Genomic DNA, 21,997 nt, shown 5'->3' with positions numbered 1-21,997 from the left:
GCAATAGAAAAAGATTGTCTCAAAAACAAAATAAAAAAATAATAATGCTTTCCCTGTAGTTAGAAGCACTTCTATAGTAGGAGCTAGAAGCAAAAAGTTGAAACAGTACCTGAACATCTCAAGTAACAAATCAAAAACTAACTTTTGGTTTGATTATCCGGATTGAATGAAAGTGGTATATAGTATAGGTGGAAGCAGGCTACAGTGACTATAAGCACAAATTCCAGAACCAAACTGCTTGAGTTTAAACTTAGTTCCTCTGCTTACTTGTTATGTGACCTTGGTTAAGTTACTTAACCTCTTGAGGCCTTAATTTGTCCATCAGTAAAATGGGAATAATAACAGTACCTATCTCACAAAGTTATGAGGCTTAAAATGGCTAATGAATGAACAGTGCTTAGAATAGTGTCTGGCACCTATGAGTTCTATTATCCCAAAAGTTGTTTCAGTTATATGTCACTTGGCTTTTTCAGACACAATCATAGCATTAATGTTCTTGTGAGCCCACGTCTGGATAAGAAAGAGCCGATGCATCTACTTTAGTGTGGAGGGCTCCTCTATCTTTTCCATCACACAATCTGAGGGAGAAGGCCTCACAGAGCACAGGGTTCTTAACTTGCCTTGTCTAAGCATCATCCAATATGCTTATCAAAATTCAGGAGGTTTGAGAAAGGGTCCAGAATCTAGTTTTCACACTCCCAGGTGGTGATAAGAAGGCTCAGGGAAGTTGTAAAATGTTGCGCTAGCATAGGAGTTGGCAAATTATGGCTTGTAGGCCAAACTATATTTTCTTTTTCCCTTACAAACAGAAGCCCAATCTTGTTCAGGTATGGGTGACCACTTGCTTAATGGATAACTCCTATTCCCCAGGGAGTGAATGTTGGTTATTTCAAAGCATTCATAGTCAATCTGTCCTCCTTGCCAGGGATTGGTTTAGGCATGGTCTTGTGATGCAACCCGGAATAGTAAGACATAACTGAAAGTCCACTAGAGTGTTACTGTAAGGTTTTTCTAACTCTTATAAGACACACACACACACACACACACACACACACACACACACACACACACACAAAGGCACTTCATGAGGATCAACCCTTTCTACATTTGGATGTTGCAAATGAGATGTGGTATTTGAAGCCAGAGCAGTCCTTGCAGTCATGAGGGAAGAGCCAAGAGAATCACACAGATTCCTTAGAAATGTTGCACCTTTGAATTAATCAATCTTGAATTAATCTGTTCTAGATTTCTGTTAGGAGACATATGGAATTCATTATATTATAATTTAAGATACTTTTATGTGTCTTTACTGAAACAATCTGATCACCTTGACCCTCTCCACATGACTCTTTGGAGAAAGGTACAATAGAGAACAAAGTTAAGTGGATGTCCCATCCTTCAAAGCAAAGCTTCAAATGAGGTCCTCTGGTAAGAAGCTCCTGATTATGAACAATAAAAAGCTGATTAGAGCTGGGATTATTCTTAATAAGGTTTGAGACCTTAACAACGTCTTTATGAAAGATAATATTCTTTATGAACAAGGGGTTAAAGAAAACTCTGTACCTTGCTAAGCTTAAGAAAGCTACTTTAGGCGTGGCGCATTCAGGTTCTCCTGGACCATAGTGGTAGTCGCTGGCCCGAGTTAGAGGCCAGCTGAGAAGTCTTCGTGCTTCAGATTTGTTTACCTACAAAATGCTTCGGTATCCATATTTTTGTAGAATGTATAAAGAATGCCTTTCATGTTGGTTGGAATCTGGCATACCTAATTTAGGTGTCTGGCCAAAAAGAATACATACTACAGCAGAAAAATATAGAGAATATGAAGCCCGGGAGCAAACAGATCAAACTCAAGTCCAGGAGTTACACAGATCTCAAGATAGAGATTTTGAAACTATGGCTAAATTACATATTCCAGTAATGGTGGATGAAGTTGTTCATTGTTTGTCACCACAAAAAGGACAGATTTTTCTAGATATGACATTTGGTTCGGGAGGGCACACAAAAGCCATTCTGCAGAAGGAGTCAGATATTGTTCTCTATGCCTTGGACAGAGACCCAACAGCTTATGCATTAGCTGAACATCTTTCAGAGTTGTATCCTAAACAAATCCGAGCTATGCTGGGCCAGTTCAGCCAGGCAGAAGCCTTATTAATGAAAGCTGGAGTGCAGCCAGGAACTTTTGATGGAGTTCTTATGGATCTTGGGTGTTCCTCCATGCAACTTGATACTCCTGAAAGAGGTTCTTCCCTTCGGAAAGATGGCCCTTTGGACATAAGAATGGATGGTGGCAGGAACATTTCCTCCCTCTGCTATTTATACACGGAAAGACTTACTACAGCAATCTACCTATATTGCCACCAAGACTTTCCAGGCTCTTCGCATATTTGTGAACAATGAGCTCAATGAACTCTACACGGGACTGAAGACAGCTCAGAAGTTTCTGAGACTTGGTGGTCGTCTTGTTGCCCTCTCCTTCCATTCACTAGAGGATCGCATCGTCAAAAGATTTTTGCTTGGAATAAGCATGACAGAAAGATTTAACCTAAGTGTTAGACAACAAGTGATGAAAACATCTCAATTGGGTTCAGATCATGAAAACACGGAAGAAGTCTCTATGAGAAGAGCTCCTTTAATGTGGGAACTGATACACAAGAAGGTATTTAGTCCACAAGATCAGGATGTACAAGATAACCCCAGAGGGCGCTCAGCCAAGCTTAGAGCAGCTATCAAATTATAAGTTACCATCATCTTATTCTTCAAATTTTTTCTCACAATTTCTCTAATCTTTACTCATGTTATGTCCCTGAATGTCTTGGTATAGGTTTAAGTGTGGGACAGTCTGAAAATTGATAGCATTTAGCATTTCTTTTTTCTCAAAAAGAAACTGTAGGAAATACATGACAGAGAAAGTTACACTCAGGGAGCAGCAGCACCTCCAGACTGGAAAAATGTGTTAATCTTTGCATCATATTGGACTCTTGAAGGCAATCCTTCCTCTGGCCAGGAAATTTTTTAAAAAATAATACTGTGTTGTGTTTATCTAAATACGTAAACTCAAGCTACCAAAGAGAAAGATGTTGTAATCACATCTGCATGTCCTAAATTTTGAATTTAGATATTCCAATTTGCATCAGTCTTTCTGTGGCTCAAATAATGATGATTATGGAATGAATTTTAATGTCCCTACTTGTGAATAATTAGCTTTCTCAAATGTAGGCTTTTTACAAATTTTAAATTTTAAAATATTAGTTTAAATGTGTGTTATACTGATAAAATTTCATCTTTCAAATTATAGTCTATTATTTTAAAGGGATTTTTCAGTATGATATGGGCCATTTTGTTCATCTATCGCAAAGTAAAAATGTAAAGTCGTTACAGAGAATTGTTTCACAAAACTTATATTTCATGTCAATTGTATTTATTTTAATAATAGCTCACAATGCCTTTAGTAAGTAATAAAGTCTCTTATTAGAATCTTGTATTTTTTAATTGAGCTAATCAAAATAATTCAGCCAAGTCTATTTGAAATAGAAAACTGTCTATTTAATATAGTAAAATCAATGCTCCCTTAATGTTGTTACAAAGATATGGTAACTGTAATATGGGTAAAAGTTTATTCAAGAAAAGAGTACTTGGTAGAAGATTCCTTAACAAATTGAGGAGATTGATTCATAATTCACATGTCAATTTTTTATAGTAATATGTACTTCTAATTTATTATTTATACTTGAATTGTGACCTGAAAGATGAATTGGAGATAATTAGTCAAAGGGCACATGGAGTATGGAAGGGGGCATGTTGATTAACCATACATAGAAATAAATATTCTCTTAGTTATCCTTGAAATCATATTTATACTATTAATTTGCTCAGTGCACTTTTTTCAAATACAGAAAAAAGATTCTCCATTATAGTTACAAATTTTAAGTTGGTGAATCCAAGTGAATGAAATATCAGCATAACTATGTGGGCAAAATAGATAGAATTAAATGCATGAATTTTTCTCAGACTTATTTTATCTGCCTCTGTAATATTTAACTTTAGTACCCAGGCTTGTTCACTACTTCTGCTTTACAGGCTTTATTTAAATCTGAACAATCCCACAGGGAAATCAGAATTAGGAAAAAAATCTGGAGAACAATATGGTTGAAATAGAAACAAGAGAACGCACCTAGGTTAATTCCCTGAATCCTACTTGAACAATGTATAAATTTCTCTTTGCATATAATACATATTTGTGAATGAGACATATTCCCAAAAAATTCTTATCTCTGTATGTGATTGGAAAAGAAAAGATCACATTTGTATATTCAACAATCTTTCACCTATTTCATAAGTCATTTTTTCATCCTGTATAGTATGGGAATTATTTTTTATGTTAAATAGAAACTGAATGTACTGGGTTGAATGGTGTCCTCTCCAAAATTCATGTACTTCCTGGAGCCTCAGAATGTGACCTTATTTGGAAATACTGTGGTTGTGGTTGTAAGTAGCTAAGATGAGGTCATACTGGAGCAGGGCAGGCCCTTAATCCAATATGACTGGTGTTCCTTATAAGAGAAGATAGGGCGGGCATGGTGGCTCACGCCTGTAATCCCAGCACTGTGGGAGGCCAAGCCAGGCAAATCGCTTGAGGCTCAGGAGTTCAAGACCAGCCTGGCCAACATGGCGAAAACCCATCTCTACTAAAAATAAAATTAGCCAGGCGTGGTGCTTGTAATGTCAGCTACCCAGGAGTCTGAGGCACAAGAATCACTCGAACCCGGGAGGTGGAGGTTGCGAGATCACACCACTGCACTCCAGTGTGAGCAACAGAACGAGACTCTGTCTCAAAAAAAAAAAAAAAAAAAAAAAAGGAAGAAAGAGAAGATAGAGACACAGGGGAGAATGCCACATGAAGCTGGAGGCAGAGATTGGAGTGATACATTGTGGGAACCCTCAGAAGATAGGAAAAAAGCATGGAATAGATTCTCCCTCAGAGTTCCAGTAGTTGCCAACCCTGCTAACATGGTTTTGCACATCTAGCATCCAGAACAGTGAGAACGTATTTCTGCTGTTTTAAGGTACCCAGTTCATGGTAATTTGTTACAGCAATCCTAGGAAGCTAATACTCTGACAGAAAAAAATCTTGGATAATATGCATGAGAAAAATCCTTCAATAAACACAAAATTGGTTTCAAAATGTTTTCATGTAAAAATAAATTAACTTTTCTGTAATAAAAAAAAAAGAAAGCTACTTTATATCCTGGAGAAAGGAATTTCCTGGGCTCTGAGCTAGTTAATAAGTAATTTCTAACTAGCTTGGTTCTCTTCCCCACATAAGAAGAACACTTAAAGGACGCTTGAATCTGCAAAGTAAATTTACTATTAGACAATCTCAATGCTAAGATTTTCCATCCTACATCTTTTTCACTAACCAATTTCCATTCTCCCCCATCTTCCACAAGAGATCTGTTTTACTGGGCTATCTGACTAACTGTAGTGCTTGCCATTATTCAGTATTTAACTGCTCCTTTGAAGAAACCTTACTTTAAATGGGTTTATCTTTAGCATGTAGATATACCACTTTCGGAAAGCCACTGGTAGTCTACTCTTGGAATTTCACACAAATTTTAACACTTTCAACAGGCTTTTGAATTTTTCACATTTGTAGAGCTCGTTTTAATTATTAATTTATATTGGAACAGTTCTCTGATGATTCTCCAATATCATTACTATTATTTTTACTATTTGTATTAGTTTTCTATTGCAGCTATTACAAATTACAACTTAGCAACTTTAAACAACACAAATTTATACTTACAGTTCTGGAGGTCAGAGTCCCAAAATCAAGGTGTTGGCAGAGCTGCATTCATTCTGGAAGCTCTGGGGGAGAAGGTGTTTTCTTATGTTTTGTAGCTCCTAAAGGCCATCTGCATTCATTGGCTCATGGTCTCAGCCTCCATCTTCAAAGCCAGCAGTGCAGAGCATCTTTCCATCTCTGACTTGTCTCCTTATAAGGACCCTTGTGATTACACTAGGCCCACTAGAAGATAACCTATCTCAGGAGTCGGGATTCCTAATCAATAGTGCTTTTTTTGCCATATAAGGTTACATATTGACAGGTTCTTGGGATTAGGACTTGGACACTTTTGTGGGCCATTATTCAGCCTACCACAGTACTTACTATTCCTTCTGCTGCTACTACTGCTATTCTTACTACCACTCATTAAAATTTGATTGTATATCAAGAGCCAGGCACTCTTCTGCTTTACATTCTTTATCTCAGCCAACAAGCCACATATTCAAATTGTGCAAATAACTTTCTTGGGCAGGCTTGTAACTAAGCCATTGCTTTCTGATAAGTAAATGACACTAATTTATCACAAAATTGAATTCCCCTAACAATGACCCACAAAATCTGCATTCCCACTCCTGTCTAGCACTGACTTGTATGTGCCTATGTTATTAATAATTATAAATAAGACTGCAAACTTGTAGCTTAGAAAAATATAGTCATAAATCTATAGTAATGGATATAAACTGGCATTTAGAAATCCAGCTACATTTATGAGTGGTTGGAACTAATGCTTATAGATACTGGATTCAATTAGCTTAGACCACTGAGACTAATGCTAATTAGATTCATGATTGCTACTTCTATAGGGAATAGTTAATTACACCCAGTTTAGAAACTATGACTTAAACCCTTATCCAAAATACTATAAAATGCATGACCTTCAAGTGAGACCTTTGACAAAAAAAGTGTAGGTTAATGCCCCAAATCTATCACTGCTGTTCAAAAAACAATTTATAAACTGATGGTTGCACAAGAATTTCTTATTCTTATTGACGAGTACTATATTATCATGTAGTTGTGTAGCACCTGTTGAGTGTACTCTTGCCACTCAAATCTGTTAAATAAGATCCTTAATATACTGTGATACACTTTGAAGAGCAGCGTGATGTATCTAACATGAGGCCCACCAAATGGACAATTCGGCACCTAAGACTTGCTAAGCATTAGAAGGGTTAGAGGCTCTTGAACTGGGTTGAACCTATTAGCTATCTGATTTAAGGCTATTTTAAGATTGGATATAATTAAGGACATGCACCTAGTTAAAAAAGGAAATTATTTAAACATGAATATAGAAATAGTCTAGCCCAGTGGTTCTAGCCTGTTAACTATGAACACCAGCAGCATATTGGAATTATCATAAGGAACCATTAATCCATTTAAGCATCATATATGTCTATAGACTAAGTATATCACACATATCAAATGTAGATATATATATTTGTGACGAGTAATCCAAGTTTGATTAAAAAAAAATCATTGAATTCCTGGTAGCTTTTGGTCATTCTGCATTTTAGAAATCATTAGGTAATTAAGAATTACTATGATAATCGATGAAATTGACATATTTAAAATGGCTGGGCACTGCTCCTCTAGCTTGAAGAATTTGGCAAGTGTTCATGAAACACTTCTACCACACAAACACTTCCATTCACGTAAGATTAAAGCTTCAAAAGAGCTGCCATCTGACAGTTCTATGCAGGAGTTGTCTTCCAAAAGATACGTGAAGAAATGAGTTAAGCAATAAAATAAGACCAACTAATTAATGCTGATGAAATCTTTCAATAGCATCTTTTTCTTTCTATAATGATGGCTTACAAGTAAGATTAGAAAGTTAAAGAAGGTAAAAAGCACTGTTTAATTTCTTTAACTTGGCCATAATAAGAGTACTTAAATCAACAAACTAGATGGGACTGTTTTTAAAACTATCTTTTAATGGAAAATGTATCTGGCTTTTAATTTGTAAGTACATGCTATAAGTTGTTTGTATAGCACTTTACAAAAAATTTTTGCATTGTAGTGTTTTAAAGTTAGATAGTCTCATCATTTATAGTCATTTAAAAAAGTCAAAGATGAGAAAGATGAGAAAACTAACCATGTGGTAAGGTTAAGTGATTTGTTCAAGGCTGTATAGTTTAGTTACAATAGAAGAGCTTAAGTTATTTTTTTAAAACCGCATGGTAATAGCAACAACATACGTGGTATGGATTAGATTCCAGAAAAGTACTATGTAGGATTTTCTAAAATGTGTTTTGACTGTTAGATTCAAACTAAGGAAATCTAGAAACATCTTGCAGTAATCTTACTTTCCTTAAATGAAGGAGGAAAAAACCTCTCTTTAAACTGACAGTATGGTATTGGATTCCTATTTAGTCATTTTCAGACCTTATATAATAAAATTTCTTTACAAGTATATCAGGCCCTAGTGACTTTTTATAACCAACTAATTGTTTACTAAAACAAACAGGTTTGTAACAAGGTGCAGAGATGGGTATTAGATTCATAATACCAAGGATCCAATATTTATAAACTTTGGACACATACAAAATCTTCCTGTCTATAGGATTGTATGACTGGAATCTCAGGGAGTTTGTAGACTCTCTTTTCCTGGAAATCTTAACCATAGTTTAAGAGCAAGTTCCAGCTTCTTGAAATGGTGTAAATTACAGCTGTGCTGGTAGAAGTTACTGAATGCCTTTTAGTATGTTTTAAATCCATAGAACCATTACAAAATTTAGACTGACTTGGTAGTTATTACTTAGTTAAAACAACATACGATGCTATTACAGGGATATAAAAATCATTACACTGGGGCTAAAAGCACTGTTAGAAATGCTTATGTATACTAATCAGATGACTTTGCTAGCTGGCTGAAATCTAAGGGGCTTTGAGAGCTGATGAGACTTCTACAATTCCATTCCCCCACTTTTTTTTTCTTGAGACAGTTTCACTCTGTTGCCCAGGCTGGAAGTCAGTGGCACAATCTCGGCTCACTGTACCTCTGCATCCTGGGCTTAAGCCTCAGCCCCCTGAGTAGCTGGGACCACAGGCACACATAACCGCACCCGGCTAATTTCTCTATTTTTGTAGAGACGGGGTTTCGCCATGCTGCCTAGGCTGGTCTCAAACTCCTGAGCTCAAGCAATCCGCCTGCCTTAGCCTCCGAAAGTGATGGGATTATAGGCATGAACCACCATGCCTGGCCATACAAATCCTTTTTATATTTCCTTCACACCCAGTGAAAGGGACAACCTGCTTATGTTTTTCTCTGCAGCTGTCTGCTGATACAGATTGAGTTTCCCTTATGGGAAACACCTGGGACTAGAAGTGTTTCGGATTTCAGGTTTTTAAGTATTTGTGTATTTCCCAGTTGAACATTCCTAATCTGAAAATCCAGAATCTGGTATGTTCCAATGAGCATTTTCTTTCAGTATCATGTTGATGCTCAAAAAGTTTTGGAGGCCAGGTGCAGTGGCTCACACCTGTAATCCCAGCACTCTGGGAGGCCAAGGTGGGAAGATCACCTGAGGTCAGGAGTTTGAGACCAGCCTGGCCAACACGATGAAACCCTGTCTGTATTAAAAGTAATAATTAAAAAAAAATCAGCCGGGCATAGAGGCGGTTGCCTTAATCCCAGCTACTCAGGAGGCTGAGGCAGGAGAATCGCCTGAACCTGGGAGGTGGAGGTTGCAGTGAGCCAAGATCGCACCACTGCACTCCAGCCTGGCGACAAAGCAAGACTCCGCCTCAAAAAAAAAAAAAAAAAAAACTTTTCCATTTCCTCCAAGTATTACCTGCAAAATAAAATATTGATTCTTCTCTTGTAAATGATAATGGGCTGCTAGATAATGTACTTTCTGTAGATTCACACTGCAGAAAAGTTTAAGCAGCAAGTTCTGGTTAGGTCTGTTCATTCAGTCACTCAATCATACATTTAACCAACCAATCAACATTTACAGATCACCAACTATGTATTAATCCAGTGATCTTAAATGGAACCAAAACAACAACAAATTTTAAAGAATTACCATAAGTTTTATTTTTGCTTAGTTTTATTAAAAAAATAAATATGTCATAAAGCTTTCTTTTTCCTTAGGGAGAAAAAAAGGAACAAGTCTCATAAAACCAAATAAGCAATGGTAAGGTGTCTTAACTTGAAAAAGATTAGGAGTCACTGGTTTACAAGTTATAATTGAATGAAAGAACTGTAACAGCCACAGTTGGCCATTTCATGCCAATGGCAGCAAACAACAGGATTAACTAGGGCAAAATAAATAAGTGTGTGGAAGCCCTGATAAGTGCTTAATAAACAGACTGATTCACTGAGACATCAGTACAGATACATCTTGCTTAAACAACACAGAAGTTCCTGAAAAGTTTTGTGTAAATGATATAACCACAAACATTACCAGGAGAGCTTGGTAACTGAAAGAATTCCATGGCGAATTCTTTTGTGAACAACTACTTTCACTTTTGTAAATCCAGGTATTTGCTTTTTATAAGGAGTTTACCTAGTTGCTACCTCTCTGAACTGAGGAAACAGCATATTCACCAAACGTTGTGCTCCAGCTGGACCACTGGCACAATTTCCAAGTTTGTGTTTCTATTAAGTAAGTAGTGTAAGTAAGGTACAGAGTCAGCCAGGGAACCCAGCTGTATCTGACAAAGCAGGTGTAGGAGTGGGACTGCCATCTACCAATAATTCCAGCAAATACTTTTGCTAATATACTTTGTGCAAAACACAGTAATAACCTTATCAATTTGGCTATAGATGTACTTCCTTTTTCTAAAACTTTCAGTCACAAGCTAGGTCTGGAACCCGAAAAGGAAGTAATACTTCTAACCCTCAAGACTGCCTTTAACCAAATTAGCTGCCCAACTCCTTCAAATTGGAATGGATGATAATGAAAGAGACTGAGTTTTCCAAAGCTGAAGTTTAACAACACAAAAATCACATTTCATATCACTAATTAGTGAAAAGTTTTGCTGGTGACAAAAATTTTTCAAATGGTTGTTTTTTGTTGTTGTTTTAACTTCCTCTAAATAGAACTCTGAATTCTGGGGCAAACTCTGCAGAAGTTAAAGTCACTGATGTTCTCTGGTTGGCTGATACATTTTAGTACTGCTGATAGAAATAAAAATTTCTTTCTACCCACCAGAATTTCATGAACTTATACTATACCAAAGCAGTGATGCTTTGGACAGGGAATACGCATGGTAGTACTAGTTCCAGTAAGTTTTATCAAACGTAAATAAATAAATAGAATCCTCACATTGCTCACAGCCTCCATTCCATTTGGTCAAACTTCTACCAGGCCCAAGCCACATTTAAATTAGGCTGTTCAGTTTTTTAATTTAATGCTCCTAATAACATTGCTGTCTATATGTACAAGTGTGAATGAAAAGAGTGTGTAATCTGTAGTCTTTTCCACACTGAGTACACTAGCAATTAGTAAATAATTAAAGAGTAAGTGGTCATTTTAAAACTTGTATTTTTTTTTTAAAAAAAGCATTTTCTAGCACTTTAAAAAATGGGTCTGAAAAGTGCCCTATTAATGTCCAATGCTGTTCCCCACCCAGTCCCACCCATTCAAAACCTGCTACAAATGCTGGATTGAGTTCATATCAAATAATTTAGCAGTACCAAGATTTTTCAAATGGAAACAGTGTTACTGACTTCTTCATATTGGATAACAAAATAAGGGTAACTCTGGTCATCATTAAAAATGACAAAAATCTGAGGCTCAAAGAAATTATCCACACAAGAGTCATAAAGGTCACTGGTGACACTGCCAGGATTGACTGGCGGGGGCCTTCTCATGCCATGACTGCCCATTGTGTATCTGCCCGTCAGCACTTTGGCCAGAAACATGAAGTGGACTCCTTTGGAGGACTTCTTAGAAAAGTTATGAGAGTAGCTTGCCTTCTTTGCAAAATAACTGCCTTGTCCAAACATTGTAGCATGCTTTCCACAGACTCGAGGGTCAAAGTTGTGTTTGCAGATTCCATCTACCACATCCTGGGATGTTCCATGAAATAAATGTCTCTCATTTATTATCCTGTCACGGCCAAACATTTTCCTGTTCATATATTCCTTTTTCCTAATGGAAAGAACAGACAGAGAATTCAGAAGGATGAAATACAGGTCAATTTAACAGGCATGATGTAGTCATAAACTTCTCTTTATGGTTTTAATGAGGAGTTATCAAGGGCAAAATGCCATCAAAGATCCTATTAAAAGTTGAAACTTATCTTTCCACTGTAGAAAAGGCCTTTTCCTTCTTTCTCCACCAATCATTCACTTGCTTTCTCTTTCATCTTAAATCTATTAAGAGTTCTCCTATGTTTTTCCTCAGGATGCCCTCCTTGCCTAATTCCTCCAATCTGAGGGTCTCTTAGATTCTGAGATTCCTGAAATCTAAATGTATTCCCTCCATTTGTCCTTCATTAGTTTGTTGACTTGAGAGGCACCACAGTAAAGGGATTAAGAGCAAGGCCTCTGGTGCCAGACGGCCTGGGTTCAAATTCCAGCACCATATCATAATAGCCGCATGACCTGCAGCAAAGTAAGCTTTCTGTGACTCAGTTTCTTCTTCTCTGTAGGATATAAATTGTAATAATCCTACTTATGTCTGTTATGAGGATTATATGTCAGTCAATACACAGAAAATATGAACATAAATTCTGTGCAAATGTTTACTATTATGTTCCTCATTTGACACTGGCTACAATAAAGCTCTCTTGATTCTTGAACTTTTTTTTTTTTTTTTTTGAGACGGAGTCTGGCTCTGTCGCCCAGGCTGGAGTGCAGTGGCGCAATCTCGGCTCACTGCAAGCTCCGCCTCCCAGGTTCACACCATTCTCCTGCCTCAGCCTCCCGAGTAGCTGGGACTACAGGTGCCCGCCACCACGCCCAGCTAATTTTTTCTATTTTTAGTAGAGACGGGGTTTCACCGTGTTAGCTAGGATGGTCTCGATCTCCTGACCTCGTAATCTGCCCGCCTCGGCCTCCCAAAGTGCTGGGATTACAGGCTTGAGCCACTGCGCCCGGCCGTCTTGAACTTTTCATACATCTGACTCACCTTTTATATTTCTCCCAAAGAAACTGGTTTTGGACTCTCAATATCTGCAAAATTCTGTATTTAAACTCAGGCACAGTCTTATGAAAAAGATTGTAAATGATCCGATAACTTTTATCCTCTGCAGAAACAGGGACTTGGATGAAGTCCTGAGATGGATGCATATAAACCCAAGTTTCAGGGTAAAAGTTTGCTGAAGTGACCCCATCTGGGCAGATAATTTGTGATGATGAAGTTGCTTCAAGAGGTGGAGGAGCTTGTGTGGGAACCCCACCAAGTGTCCTAAAATGGAGAGGAAGAAACATCAATGTAAAACATTAAGAAATAAGTACACCTCACATTATAGTGATCTATATCAGTGTCTACTTAATATTATAATCTGTATAGCTTAAGTGCTTATTTTAAAAGTAAAAAATGCTATCTATTTAATTAAAAAAAAAGGCTTGGAGCAAACATCGCCTGTACATGAATAACCTATTATTAGCCTTCTGTGGGCCTCCTTCCTGTGAAGAAAACTCTGGAATGTATAGCTACAAGGCAAACAAGCAAGAGCCAATTCACAAATACCTTTACGTTTGAATCCTAGACTCCTCTTTATTACCTATAGCTAAAGAAACTTTGTTATATGTTTTCTTCCAAATGTGCTGATACTAAGCAGAAAAGATTTCATTACTAAAGGATGTGTGGGTGGGAGACAAAGTAAGGCATGCAGCAAGGAGGGAGCTTATAGGGAGAAAAAAAGCTACTTTAATTTCTGTATAAAAACAAACAAAAATCATGGAGCAGGACCTGAATGCTAATATTTGACATTTGCTTCGTTTTCTAAGATCACACATAGAAACAAAACCACCAATACTATTCAACTTTTATAGCTTTGAGTGTGCTTAAGATGGAGCTAATTACTATAAACTCTAGATACCAGAATGCATATCCGTGAGCCTTTAAATTCATGTCTGTTACTTTGAACAATGATTTTAGATAAGCAGCAGCTTTGGTAAGTTACTTATTCCTGCCTAGTTAAATGCTTAAATTTAAATCATATTCCTTGGCCATTTCGAAATGGAGAAAAAGAGAAGTGGAAGAGAGCAAGGAAATCCTGACCCTGAGACCTAGTTCAGGGCCAGGTGCTATAACACTCATTGGCACATACTGGTCACAAGGAAGTAATAATGTGTGCCAAAATGTATTAGGAAACTGAAATTTTCATAAGAGCTTTGTGACACAGAGACTACAACTTTGTGTGTCTCATCTCCAAAGAGCATAGCTGACCATCTCTCTCATCATAATCATAACCAATTAATACTATGTGCCAGCCATTTTACATACAATATCACTAATTGTCACAATAACCCTGTAAGATGACTTGGTTATTCCCACTTTTCAAATGAAGAAACTGAGGTTTAGAGAGATTAAATAATTTGCCCGAGTATAGCTAGCAAAGAGCGAAGACAGAATTTGAATCTAGGCCAGGCCCATCTAGATAGTTTCTAATTTCATACTCTTTTCAGTTCCATATGTTTCACAATTTATATATATATTTTTTAAAACAAGGCTAGAAAGTGATCGACAGGATACTAGGATTCCAACCTAGTTTTGCCTGACACCACCATCACCACCACCACCACCACCACAACCACCACCACCACCACCACCACCACCACCACCACCACCACCACCACCACCACCGCATTATCATCAACACACAGTCTTTTAGGAGATGACTTTCAAGAAGCTAAAACAATGGAAGCATGACTGCCGTCTCTAACCCCCACCTTCTACAAGTGACTGTGCCTTCAATTCAATGTGCCTCAAAGTCTCTTTGTGAGACAGAGTCCTGGATGGATGGGTGGATCCAGGGCTTACTGAATCTCCGAGGTGCTTTTAAGTACAGGGGGAGATTTAAAGTGCTGCTGGTTTCTCCAACCTTCACAACAAAAGGCACAACAGTCCTTGTCCTCTGTAGCATTTTCTCAGAGCCCACACAGATTCCTTTGGATCCTCAGTACTGATACATTTTTCTGGTACAATGGTACATTTTTCACTGGTACACTTTCCTGAAGAGAGGTCTGACTGCTTTAATCAGATTCTCAAATATCTATAACTCCTTAAAAAGCCATCACTAATCTGGAGGAATGGCGGGGAAGCAAAGAATATAAGCCCCTTATTTTTATTTAATAGCTCCTCCCTCTATCCAGCTTTGCAAAGAAAAGGGTAAGTCCCCAGCCCACCAGGTTTTCTATTATTATCAGGGCTTGAAGTTACCAACACAGGCTTCTGGTTTGAAAGAAAAAGGTAAGATTCTCTGCAAACACTCTCCTCTAGAGGTTTTAGACTGTCAGCCTGTACAGCAAACCTAGCCGTGACAACAGAAGAGATTCTGCCCCTTTTCTTTCTGATATCACTACTATGGACCCGTTCCATAAAATGCAAACTTCAAATATAGCTTTTCCTTTTTTGCAGGGGATGGAGGTCCATTATTACTAACATATGCTTGAAGATGAGCCGAGATAAATAAATCCTATCCATTCTAAGATATTAAACTGGACTATGTATATGGTTAACATCCATTCCAACCCATAGATGCTTACTTTTAACAAGCCAACATCCTAACTTGCCTAAAACATAAAAATGCATATACACATCTGTCTGATGGGCTTCAACACTCTAATAGCCATGGGTTAAAAAAATATGTTTCAAGCGCAGTTACAAATGTGCCTTTATTTTCTGAGAATGAGTTTGTATTCACTGCATGGGTATTCCAAAGATATACTGCATGTTTCACAGACGGACACCAGCCTTCTCTAGAGAGGGAGTCAAAGGGAATTGAGCTTCTACACAAGGATCTCTGAAGAATGAAATTTCAGAATCCAAACTCACCTTTTATTACTTTCCCTCCTTCCCCTTACCATTTTGAAAGATGTTTACTAAATCAGTTTCAGCGATGAAATACAAATTAATTCATTTTATCCTTTTCAGGGGGGATTAAAGAAACTGTGCCAGGCATTCCCATGACCATGAGGTGACTGCATGGGATAAATGTTCTTTCAGCTGAAAGCACTGAACCACCAAACCCCTAAGCTTTGTTTGCTTATGCAGTCTCAGTTCAAGTATTCTAAGATCAGCCCCATTAAAAAGCAGGAGAAACCTTTTAAAAACAGCTGAATTTGTAGAAAATTCATTAATTAAGTCAACTTCCTACCCCACCCCTTCTACTCTTAGGCATCTGATTCCCTGAGAATTGTGGCCTCTTTAACACCTATTTTTTTTTTATCCTTTGCATTTAATAACACTTAAAAACAAAACATCATGCCTGTAATCCCAGCTACTTGGGAGGCTGAGGCAGGAGGACTGCTTGAGGACAGGAGTTCAAGACCAGCCCCAGCAACATAGTGAGACCTTGTCTCTACACCAAAGAAAAAAAAAGAAAACATTAGCTGGGGATGGCAGCATCCACCTGTAAGTCCCAGCTACTTGGGAGGCTAAAGCAGGAGGATCACTTGAACCCAGGAGTGCGAGGTTACAGTGAGCTATGATGATCATACCACTGCACTCCACCCTGGGCGACAGAGGAAATTCTGTCTCTAAAAAAGTTTTAAAAAATATAAAAAATAAAAAATAAAAAAATAAAAAAGTTTTAAAAATTTAACAAAACAAAAACCACTTAAAAAGAAACATTTTCCCTGGCTAAGATCATAGCCTCTGGAATCTACTTCTAAAATATGCTTTTTGGAACCAATTCCCCTCATCTTTCTCCCTACTAGGTCCTTCAGCCCCACACTCTAGGGTAGATAGGATCACTGCATTTACCCATCCCACCCTGGTGGACTGGCTATTTCTCTGCTCTTTTCTCACTGAAGTTTAATATTTCTTTGATTTGCTGATCTCTTACTTTATACCTGATTATCAGTTTTAGACAGAAAGATTAAAATAGAAAATTTTTAAAAGAAAAAGGAAAATAAAGAGTAACTATTTTTGTTCTCTTGTAAGCCCATATTATCAATATATGACTACCTAGTAGATATTGAGCATTCTATTCCAGACCACTGCAATAAAGCAAATATCACAATAAAGTGAGTAATACAATTTTTTAGTATCCCAGTGCATATAAAAGTTATGTTTATACTATACCATAGTCTATTCAGTACATAATAGCATTCATTCTTTAAAAAAACAATATTTATACCTTAATTTAAAAATACTTCATTGCTAAAAAACACTAACAATCATCTGAGCCTTTGGTGAGTCATAGTAATTTTACTGGTGGGAGGGTTTTGCCTTGATGATGGCCTGACTGATCAGGGTGGTGATTGCTGAAGGTTGAGGTGGCAGTGGCAATTTATTAAAATAAGACAATGAAATTTGCCACATTAATTGACCCTTCCTTTCATGAAAGATTTCTGTTGCATGCAGTACCATCTGAAAGCATTTTACCCGCAGAACTTCTTTCAAAGTTGCAGTCAATCCTCCCAAACCTTGCTGTTGCTTTATCAACTAAGTTGATGTAATATTCCAAACCCTTTATTATTTCAAAAATCTTTACAGCATCTTCACCAGTAGATTCCATCTCAAGAAACCACTTTCTCTACTCATCCAAAAGAAGCAACTCCTCATGCATCCAAGTTTTATCATGAGATAGTAGCAATTCAGTCACATCTTCAGGCTACACTTCTACTTCTACCTCTCTTGCTATTGCCACCACATCTGCAGTGACTTCCTCCACTGAAGTCTTTAACCCTTCAAAATCATCCATGTGGGCTGAAATAAACTTCTTCCAAATTTCTGTTAATGTTGGTATGTTAACCCCCTCCCATGAATCACGATGTTCTTAATGGCATCTAAAATGGTAAATCCTTCCCAAAAGTTTTCCAATTTACTTTGCCCAGATCCATTAAAGGAACCACTATGTATGGCAGCTATAGCCTTACAAAATATACTGTTAAAATAGGAGGTCTTGAAAGTCAGAATGACTACTTGATAAGTGGGCTGCAGAATGGATGTTGTATAGCAGGCATGAAAACACTAATCTGTACATCTCCATTAGAGCTCTTGGGTAACCAGGTGCATTGTCAATGAGCAGTAATAGTTTGAAATAAGTCTTTTTTTCTTGAGCAGGTCTCAATAGTGGGCTTAAAATATTCAGTAAACCATGCTATAAACAGATGTGCTGTCATCCACACTTTTTCCATTTATAGAGCACAGGCAGAGTAGATTTAGCACAATTTTCAAGGGCCCTAGGCTTCAACTTAAAGTCACCAGTTGCATTAGCCCTTGACAAGATAGCCCTGTCCTTTAAAGCCAAGCATCAACTTCTCTCTACCTATGAAGTCCTAGATGGCATCTTCTTCTAATATAAGTTTGTTTTGTCTACACTGAAAATCTCTTGTTTAGTTTAGCCACTGTCATCAATGATCTCAGCTAGATTTCTGGATAACTTGCTACAGCTTCTACATCAACACTCCCTGCTTCACCTTGCACTTCTATAAGAGAGATGGGCTCTTAAACCTCATGAACCAACCTCTGTTAGGTTTAAACTTTCTTCTGCAGCTTCCTCACCTCTCTCGGCCTTGAAAGAACTGAAAAAAGTTAGGGCCTTGCTCCGGATTAGGCTTTGGCTTAAGGGAATGTTGTAGCTGGTTTGATCTTTTATCCAGATCACTAAAACTTTCTCTATATTAGCAAGAAGGCTGTTTTACTTTCTTATAATTCGTGTGCTTACCAGAGTAGCACTTTTAATTTCCTTCAAGAACTTTTCCTTTGTATTCACAACTTGGCTAATGTTAAGGCACAAGAGGCCTAGCTTTTGGCTTATCTCAGCTTTCAACATGCCTTCCCCACTAAGCTTAATCATTTCTGGCTTTTGACTTAGAGATGTGTAACTCTTCCTTTCACTTGAACACTCTGCCGTCTTATGTGGGTGCTGTTCTTGGCACCCCAAAACAAATGTAACATAAAGATCACCGGTCAGATCACCATAACAGATACAATAATAATGAAACACCTGAAATATCCGAAGAATACCCGAAATATGATTCAGAGACACAAAATGAGCGCATGCTGTTGAAAATACAGCACTAATAGATTTGGCTTGACCTAGTGCTGCCACAGACCTTCAATTTGTAAAAAACACAATTATCTGTGAAGTACAATAAAGCAAAGCACCATAAAACAAGATATGCCTGTATAATGAAGGCATATTTGTGGCATTAATTGTATTGCTGCTTATATTATCTTTATAGTTCATACTTTTACAAAACAAGCCTAAGCTTCAAAAAAAAAAAAAAAAGAGGGCATATTCCATAATTACTTATCATGAGATAAAAACAGACGCATTTTCACCATTCACCGAAACTTTCCAACAATGCAGAACTTGCATTCTTACCCTCACACAGAAGTTCTATCTTGCTTGATTGGCTCAGCATGCCAAGCTGCTGGTCTCACTAATGGGTTCTACTATCTCACCAGGAGGACAATATATTCCTAACTACTGGACACTGACACTATCTCCAGCTGTGCTAGTAAAATCACAGAAATGGCATTTTTACTAGTTCTAATTTTTTAAGAAACCCTACAAGGTAAAATTTTTCTAACGGGCACTTAGAAGAAAGAACACACTTAACCCAATCCAATATATATTTCTAAGATTAATCTTACTACAAATTTCTTTTGGATACTGATCATTTCAGGGATTTTTATTTGTATTTTGTTTTTACTGTTCCCCTTCCAAACATGGGATTAGAATCACTAAGATTTTCTCATAACAACTTAGGGAAAACAGTTTGAGCTAAAATAAAAACAGTAGGAATATAAAAATGGTATCTTTTCCTCAAAGATCAGCACAAAAAAACCAACCATTACGCTAGACTTCTAAAGTTCATAAAACCAAGTAAACCTATACCATTTTCAAAATCAGTCTCTAAAAATAGCATATCTGACTGGAGTAGATAATGATTTCCCTAGAGATACTAATTTTCAAAGGTGGCCATGTGAATGGTAATGTGCCCCACCTTTTGGTATCTATAAAGATGTGCCACTGGGTTGTCTGGAGACCAAAGGAAGAAACAACTCTTGGCAAAATGGAAGAAAAGCTCACCTACAATTCAGAAGAGTGAGTTCAGTCCTAACCTTACATTAAGAAACTGTATTCTTAGTAAGTATGACAAGTAATTTTAGTGAGTATCACAAGAAGAGGTGGCTTACCTAGCAAATGAGAATGTAAATTATTTGAAAAGGTGAACTTTCCCCATTCAAATTCCCTCAAGTAAAAGGAAAACAAGAAATCACCTTGTAGGACTCTCCTCACTTGCCCCGGCAGTTTGGCTAAGTTGTCCTGTAACATAGAAGGGTCTCATCTTGAAAGTAGTTTCATGGAAGGAAAAAATCTTCCATGAAGGAGGTAAATGCAAGTTCTGTGACTCATTCCAGACACAATTATATTTAGTTGTGGAAAAATGTTAACTCTAAAAAATCCAATAAGTTACTCATTCTTCTAGTGTAACTGGATTTATTGTAGCTTATTTACACTCAATTTGTTGAGGAATTAAAATCCAAAGACTAATTTGGAATTTCACATTCTAGGAGTACTAACCAAGGTAGACTCTTATTTATTTTTTATCTCTAGTATTCAGGAATGCATTTACATAAAATGAGAGTAAATATTGCAACTTCATACTCGACACTTACTGTAAATATGGAAGCAGTATAAAACAGGAGCGGAAGAGGGGTCTCCTTTTTATCTCTCTCCTGAAGAATGAATTGTGGAGGATGTAGTGGTTATTCCACATCATAAATCGAACCTCTTTCAGACCCCGAGAGTTGGCTTCTTCAATCAATCGAATGACAGACTATGGAGGAGAAAACAGAACAAAAAAAAAAAAAAAAAGGAAAGTTAATAATCATGGTTAAAAATGAAAATTAACCAAAGGCAAAAGTTAACCTCACAGGAATTTCAATAAAGTACAGTGAGTCTAAATAACTCCCTTTATATGCTAAGATTTTTTTTCCCTTCCAAGTATGTAGGGTGGAAAGATGCTCCCTGTTCATAAGGCATGGATTTCCACCTTACAAAACATGTGGGGCCCAGGGAACTATTTTATTCTATTTTGAGCCTTAATAATATCATAGAGAGTTTTCGTTCATATTTCTTAAGGGAGTTTTCAAAAGAGGAATTAAAGATAGTGATGTTGGCCAGTATCAGTGGCTCACGCCTGTGAGCCACTCCCCACGCTTTGGGAGGCAGAGAAAGGAGGATTGTTTGAGGCCAGGAGTTCGAGACTAGACTGGGCAACATCGCAAGATCCTGTCTCCACAAAAAATAAAAAATAAAAATTAGTTGAGTATGGTGGCATGCACCTGTAGTCCCAGCTATTTGGGAGGCTGAGGCAGGAGCACTGCTTGAGCCCAGGAGTTCAAGATTATAGTGAGCTATGATTGTGCCACTGTACTCCAGCCTGGGCAACAGAGCAAGACCTCTCTCTCAAAATAAATAAATAAATAAATAAATAAAATTTGAAAAGGTGGTGGTATATAAAGTTCAAGCTCTAAACCCAAAAAACTTCTCAGAGGAAAAACACAGGAACAGTCTGAGTATTCTGAGAGTACATTTTAAACAGCCTTGTATTCTATTTGGAAGGTAGATAACTAGTGATTACCAAGTATTCTGAGAGTACATTTTAAACAGCCTTGTATTCTCTTTGGAAGGTAGATACTAGTGATTACTTAAACTTACTTAGTTTAATATTGTGTTTAACAATAATTAACATACTAGGTTTTTTTCTTTTGCTATTGTCTTTAAAAATAAAAGTAAGGTAGATAAGTTGTTCCCCCCTTTTGTAATGCTGGAAATGAACTTAAATTGAAAAAGTCAGATCTTTGGAATGTGAAATTAATCTCTAAAGTCCATTTGAGGTTGTTTAAATGACTCAGAATTGTCATTCAGAAGCAAAGTAAACCATCATCATTTTAAAACCTTGCTTTGAGACTGAAGGGCTATTATCACTGTCTCAGACTAAGGATGCAAGTGCACATAGGAGAAAATTGTAAATAACTGATTTCCCTGACCACAGCTCAATAAACATTTTCAAGT

At 37.2% G+C, this 21,997-nt stretch overlaps 1 protein-coding gene and 1 pseudogene across 4 annotated transcripts in view; one reads left to right on the top strand and one right to left on the bottom strand.

The window, feature by feature from the left end:
* Window positions 1,592–5,218, top strand: METTL15P1 (methyltransferase like 15 pseudogene 1; annotated as a pseudogene).
* TIPARP (TCDD inducible poly(ADP-ribose) polymerase) overlaps window positions 9,851–21,997 on the bottom strand; it is a 32,181-nt gene continuing 20,034 nt past the window's right edge. For all 4 annotated transcript variants that reach the window (NM_015508.5, NM_001184717.1, XM_047447935.1 and 1 more), the window contains exons 4-6: window positions 20,596–20,756; window positions 12,919–13,197; window positions 9,851–11,937 (exon numbers count right to left, since the gene is read on the bottom strand). In NM_015508.5, coding sequence (NP_056323.2) covers window positions 11,490–11,937; window positions 12,919–13,197; window positions 20,596–20,756 — 888 coding nt within the window. In that variant the 3' untranslated portion in view covers window positions 9,851–11,489. The remainder of the gene's footprint in view (window positions 11,938–12,918; window positions 13,198–20,595; window positions 20,757–21,997) is intronic.

This window comes from Homo sapiens, chromosome 3, assembly GCF_000001405.40.
Source record: "Homo sapiens chromosome 3, GRCh38.p14 Primary Assembly".
Lineage (NCBI taxonomy): Eukaryota > Metazoa > Chordata > Mammalia > Primates > Hominidae > Homo > Homo sapiens.
The sequence above is the reverse complement of the archived record's forward strand: the minus strand, read 5'-3'. Positions and strand labels throughout refer to the sequence as shown.